Below are 6000 nucleotides of genomic sequence, written 5' to 3'. Positions count from 1 at the left end.
ATTATGTAAGTTTAGGTTTAATATAGATGGAACTTATAATGTCATATAAAATGTTGTTACTTATTTTGTAAGAAAGCTGAGTTAGATTTTGTAAAGGCATTAAATATAATTTTAATGGGAAGCTATGAAAATTGTGTGCATTTGGTGTGTAAATGACTCATTTTGGGTAATTCTGTAAAGGCCACCTATGAATGTGAGTCATTAGTAACCAAATCTCCTATAGATAGCATATTGCATATTCATTTTAATGTATTCTTTTACCTGAGCTCAATTTTTCTTAATTTTATTCATCAAATTTTATACGCTTTAGATAAAAGACACCTTGTAGTTACCATGTGCTCTATGGATCTCTATTTTGTTAGAAATACAGATTTTCAGGCAAAACCCAAGTATATCGTATCAAAATCAGGTTTTTAAATAATATTCCCAGGTGATTCACATGCATATTAATAATTGTTAAGTGGGGGTAATTCTATAATTAAAAGGGAAAAGGTTATATGAGTGTATTTATTTGTTAAAAAGGTACAGAAAAGATTGTATGTTTCAATGTATATACATCTTATCTCATAGAAAATAACTAAAAACAATAATAAAGTGGGGATGGGGAATGAGTTGAAGTAGAAGTTAAACAGAAATGGCACATAATTAGTAGATGTTTAGGCTGAGCATCAGTCTATTATACTACATTGCTTATTGCATATATGTTTAAAATATTCTCTAATAAAATAATTGTATAAAAAGACAAACTTTATCTACAACATTAGCTCTTAAGATTGTGGTTACTTTTGGAGGGGAGGAAAAGAGAAAGTGGTTTGTGTGGCAGAAACAAGGCTAGTTCTATCCTATGCCTACACAAATGTATTTGTTTGTAATAATTTACTGAGCATTATGTTAATGCTTTGGACATATATTTCTGTATGCATGTCATTCAATAAAATTTAAATATTACATATTTAATCTTAACAGAATAATAGCAATGTTTGGTATTGTTTTGTTTGAAAGTGAGGCATTTAGTGTCAGACATCATGAGATGGGTATTAATATTCCAAGGTATTTATTCACATCCTGACTCTTGGGGGTCCCCCTCGATCTTTCATTTTTACCTCAATTGAGTAAGTAGCATGGTTGTAGTTTTGGGGAATGCAATTTTTTACAGCAAAGTCCTTCCTCCACGATAGTACTCACCACGGCCAGGACACTTAGCACAGGGCCCTGTACGTAGTGTGCACTCAGTGTGTGTGGAACTGGTGTGAATCAGAAACAAAACAAGTAGCAGAGGTCAGTTCTGCAAAGGATAGAAAGTAAGTAATCAAGACTGAAAGGCCGCAACTCAGCAGCAAACACTTCTATGTTAATTTGAGAAATAATTTCAACTGGCTCTCCAAAAGATGTTGGTTTAAAGCAGTAACATGGGAGTTGAGCTGTGTGCTATAATCACCCGAGAGCTTTAAATCACACTGTTGCCTAGGTCTCACTCCAGAGATTGACTTAATTACCCCATTGCAACTTGGGTTTGAAGACTTTAAACACTCCTCTACAAGGTTATTGAAATATGCAGCCAAGGGTGAGAAGCATTGATTCAGGGTGAGGAATACATTGGCTGTATGTGATTTTTATGTGTGCTTTAGGGATTTGCCCCATAGCTGCTCCTGAATGTGGGGTCTTAGAAAACATCTTTACCCTTCAAAGCATATTCTGCTGATTGGCTAAATTGCAGCAGGAAAAAATATCAGCAGCTCTGTCTTTATGTCACTTGCCTTCAAAGCAAAAGATTTTTCAGGCACAGTAATTTGATTTAGTCTGTGTTAAAAATCATAAATAGCCTAGAAATACAAAAAAAAAGAGGTGTTCAGGCCTTCACCTCCCTGAGATCGGAGCATCAGAGCCCTCATGGCTGCTGGTTTGAAGTAAAATGTGCTGCAAACATAAAATACACAGCGAGTTTAAAAGATTTAGATCCAAAATATTTATAATTATTTGTTGACCACACATGAAAAATAATATTTTGGGTATAATGGCTTAAAGAGTATTACAAACAATTTCACTTGTTTCTTTTTATTATTCCTATTATTTCTGAGATGGAGTCTTGCTCTGTCACCCAGGCTGCAGTGCAGTGGCACAAACTCAGCTCACTGCAACCTCCACCTCCTGGGTTCAAGCGATTCTCCTGCCTCAGCCTCCCAAGCAGCTGGGATTACAGGCGCCCGCCACCATGCCCGGCTAATTTTTGTATTTTTAGTAGACAGGGCTTCATTATGTTGGCCAGAGTGGTCTCGAACTTCTGACCTCTGGCCTCTCAGAGTGCTGGGATTACAGGCGTGAGCCACCATGTCAGGACTCTTTTTATTACTATTTTTGATCTGGCTAATAAGACATTTAAAATTCACAATAGCTAACGTTTTATTTTTTAGAGGATTGCTTCTCTCTTAAAATCTTAGGTGTCCCACTCCAAAGACCGGCGGCCAGAAAGGTTATGAAATCTGAAATATTAAATAATTGTCATTATATTGCTTCCATTTGTGAACAACGTGTGTGTGTGTTTTATAAACGAACATAACCTTCATAACGTTATACACCACAATGCTAAAAAAATGACCCCTGGGCAGAGCCAGGCGCAGCACAGACAGAAAGCCCTGCCTGAAAGTGACTGGAGCCAAGAGCCTGTCACTCTCGGCTCATTCCGTGCAGTGTATGGTAGCATCTTCTGACACGCAAGGCCTGAGGTCGCGGTGCCTGCACTACTATCCAATCAGGGCTCTGGGGTGGGAACTGTCCAATCAGGCGCGCAGCCAGGGAGGAAGGGGCGGCTTCCGGAATCTGGCGCGGCCTTTGTCTCACTTCAGCCAGAGCGCGGGGTTAGGGCTTCATTGCCTTGTGTCCTCTGCTCCGGGAGACTTCGGTGATTCTGCCACTCACTCCGTCGCTCTGTGACCTGCTGGCATTGAATGATTTATAGCTAAGACTCCAGGACACCCCTGAAGCCGAGAAATGGTGAGTGTGGGGGGCAGGGCGTACCGAGACTGGGGAGGGGGCTCCTTGGAACCGGCTGGACATGGCGGTGACGGGACCTAGTCTGCGAGTCGAGTCTGCAGCTCAGCCCTCAGTCCCCTCCGGTGCAGGGACTCCGGGCGTCCTGTCCTGTCCCTGCACGGCGGCTTTGGCCCCAGCCTGTAGCCCTCTTTGCGCAGCTCTGCGCCCGCAGCCCTGCATCTTCCCCAGGTTGTGAGGTGATGAGGCGAAAGTCATCGGAAAGACGCCGACTCGGTGTGCAGGGTTCCTGCGTGGAAGGAGCTGTGGTCCGTGGGGTCCCCCGTCCCTACCTTACCCTGTTCGGAATTAGACTGAGGCGCCATTAAAACATAGACAGCTTATATGAGTAAACAGTGATTAATTAATGGGACAGCGCTCAGCAATGGTTTGTGGTTGGGGGGCTACTAGAAGGTCTTGAAAGAAAGGCTTGTATAAGGTGTGTGAGGAAGCAAAGACAATTAAATAATTGGGTACAGTTATGTAGTCGCTTTATTTGGAGTGTCTGGGTGGAAATTTCCTGGTTATGTAATCAGGGATTAATTGGAGGTTTGTAGTTGTTTAAGCTTGAATTTCGTTTCCTCCTAAGGTAGTAACTTAGAAAAAAATGCATTTGAGTTAGATTTCTTTTTTTACATAGAGGCCTAGACCACTAGAGCCACTTCAGTCTAAATGACTGCTATGTAATTATTTTAACTTTAATCAAAGACACTGGTTTTCGCCTGCATTTTCCAAATGTGTGGCAAGCAGGGTCTCACATCCACTACTCTGTTCTGCCAGCCTAACCTGGCTTGAAGTAAAATCTTAAATTTCCGGTTTCTTGCTGACATTCCCCAAAGCCAACTTCTACGCTCCCATACATTATCAACTGTTTTTGTCCTTTATTGCACATTTCAGAAACAGTATTTGAATTAATCACTTTTTCACAGAGCAGTGGATGGCAATTTGTAAAATACTTATTTTCTACTTACAAATATTTCACATGAGAAAAAAGCAGAAAATAATCCCCTGGCACTCAACTGTAAAAAATCTTTCTGCTGTTTCTCCTTGTATCCTCCCTTAGCACAAACGCCCTTATTAGGCCATCTTGGGATTGAGGTTTTCGTTGGGAAACTTTATGGGGCAATGTTTCCTTAGCCACATTCGGGCCTTTTTCTAGTCCTGAGTTTTAGAACTGTCTTGAGATGGCCCAAGATACAAACCAGAGCCATGTATTTTGGGAGTTCTGGTGAATAGCAGCCCTTTGGTAATCTTCCAGAGGACACACTGAGGGATGGGAGTGCAGCTTCTCAAAGGAGCAGCTGAATGCCCTGGGGGTGAGAGAAATATCCAGGCTTACCCTTCCTGTAAAAAAAGAATCCCTTGGGATTTTTAAGATTTTTTTTTTTTTTCCCCCAACCCCAGTTTTCATTCCATGGAAACACATTGCTTGTCAGCCAATCAGATGCTGGTATTCAGAGAAAAAGATAGACTATTCCTGTCTTCTGAATTGTCTTATATTTGCGAAGGGAGAGAAACTAACCTGAAGGACAAGAAAAACCCACCCCAGGGAGGCAGTGCAAGAACCTGCAAAGCAAAAAGCACAGTGGGGCACAGTGCAGTGTCTCCTGGGAGGGTGGGCATTGAGCACTTCAGTGAGGAGTATGGGGGTGATAGAAAGTCCCAAGGGATAAGGTGGCCTGATTTGACACTTGAGTCATATGTCCCTGTTCCAGAAAGCACTGCCACTCCCTGAGTTTGTCCCCCTGTATAGATTTGCTCACTTATTTCAACTTCGGTTTTTTTAATTAACTGTAAATTGGATCTCAAAGGATAGGCAGAAAAGGGCTTTTAAAAAAAGTTGGAAAGAGCAAATAAGATTAGAAGGAAGGTGAGAGAGGGTGGGCAGAATGAAGTGTGGCAAAATCAGATTCTAAATCAGAGAGCGTTCAACCCTGAAGTCAGCTTTTTCTTAGGAGGTTAATAAAGAGAGATTGAATGTTGAATCAGGCTGAGAATAGGTCAAAGTTCAGGGATCTGAACAAATAGGCTTTTTTTTTTTTTTGACCATCGGAGATGAAATTGTTCAGCCAATTGTATATGAGAAAAAAATGGAAATGTGTGGTCCATGTCTGACTCTGTGATAGGTTTAGAAAAAAAGAAGAGAGAGTATTATTGAAGTCACAATGGGAAGGGTGTCTCTTTTCGTTAAGCTGATTTCGGAGAACAAAAAGCATGAGGAATTTTTTGTCACAGCTATTTAGCAGAATTACCTACCTGCCCCAGCTTTCACCACCACTTTTTCTTGCCCTATGCATCTCTTCCATGTGGCTGTTCCTGAGCTGTATCTTCAATAATAAACTGGTATATGTAAGTACAGTGCTTTGCTGAGTTCTGTGAATAGTTCTATCAAATTATTGAGCTTGAGGAGGGGAATGTGGAAGCCCTTGATTTGTAGGAAGTAGTTGAGAAATAAAGATGGGTATCCGGAGGCATGTGACTGGCATCGGCAGTGAGGACAGTGTTATGGGACTTAGCCTGAACTTGTGGGATCTATGCTGACTCTGGGCGGTGTTGGAATTGAGGTGTTGGACAGCTAGTTGGTGTTGGATAATTGGTTGGTGTTCAGCAAACTCCTTACGTTTTGTGTCAGAAGAAAGACATCACTGGGGCCTGGTCTATAAGGAGACTCCAGGTGTCTGAGGGAAGTGAGGCTTTGTTCTGCACACAGGCTTGTCGTCACCCTGTGCGTTGTCCTGTAATTCCAGGTCTCCTCCTACTGTGAGATGGAACGAGAGCTTAGAGTGAAGGAGCTCTGAGAACCTATTCCCTCCCCTGACCCTGCTGCCAGCCCCTACATGCTTCTAACCCACTCCTGAACATACCCACTAAAAATTGATCTGGCTACACTCCTCCCACGACAAAGTTTTACCCTCAGGAATTGTGCTCACAACAGCTTTCCTCCTAGAGTTTTCTGCCAAGAACATACACAGG

The 6000-nt window shown here is 41.9% G+C and overlaps 1 protein-coding gene across 2 annotated transcripts in view, besides 4 other annotated features; it reads left to right on the top strand.

The window, feature by feature from the left end:
* Positions 2571-2630: a silencer, noted in NCBI's record as "silent region_9339". NCBI's record gives its function as "represses an Ori minimal core promoter by ATAC-STARR-seq in GM12878 lymphoblastoid cells {active_cell/tissue: GM12878}" and the evidence as "EXISTENCE:reporter gene assay evidence [ECO:0000049][PMID:35858748]".
* The window catches only part of ZNF519 (zinc finger protein 519), a 61315-nt gene continuing 58145 nt past the window's right edge, over positions 2831-6000 (top strand). For both annotated transcript variants that reach the window (NR_033354.2, NM_145287.4), the window contains exon 1: positions 2831-2991. Coding sequence is in view for 1 of the 2 variants with exons in the window: in NM_145287.4 (NP_660330.2) it covers positions 2989-2991 (3 nt within the window). In the remaining variant the exon portion in view is untranslated. The remainder of the gene's footprint in view (positions 2992-6000) is intronic.
* Positions 2881-3220: an enhancer, noted in NCBI's record as "active region_13130". NCBI's record gives its function as "activates an Ori minimal core promoter by ATAC-STARR-seq in GM12878 lymphoblastoid cells {active_cell/tissue: GM12878}" and the evidence as "EXISTENCE:reporter gene assay evidence [ECO:0000049][PMID:35858748]".
* Positions 2881-3644: a biological region, named in NCBI's record as "NANOG-H3K27ac-H3K4me1 hESC enhancer GRCh37_chr18:14131621-14132142".
* Positions 3123-3644: an enhancer, noted in NCBI's record as "NANOG-H3K27ac-H3K4me1 hESC enhancer chr18:14131621-14132142 (GRCh37/hg19 assembly coordinates)". NCBI's record gives its function as "activates a minimal SCP1, AML or CMV promoter by ChIP-STARR-seq in primed H9 embryonic stem cells {active_cell/tissue: H9 hESC(primed)}" and the evidence as "EXISTENCE:reporter gene assay evidence [ECO:0000049][PMID:30033119]".

Source organism: Homo sapiens, chromosome 18, assembly GCF_000001405.40.
Source record: "Homo sapiens chromosome 18, GRCh38.p14 Primary Assembly".
Classification (NCBI taxonomy): Eukaryota; Metazoa; Chordata; class Mammalia; order Primates; family Hominidae; genus Homo; species Homo sapiens.
Note: the sequence above shows the minus strand (reverse complement) of the source record. Positions and strands in the feature narration are given on the sequence as shown.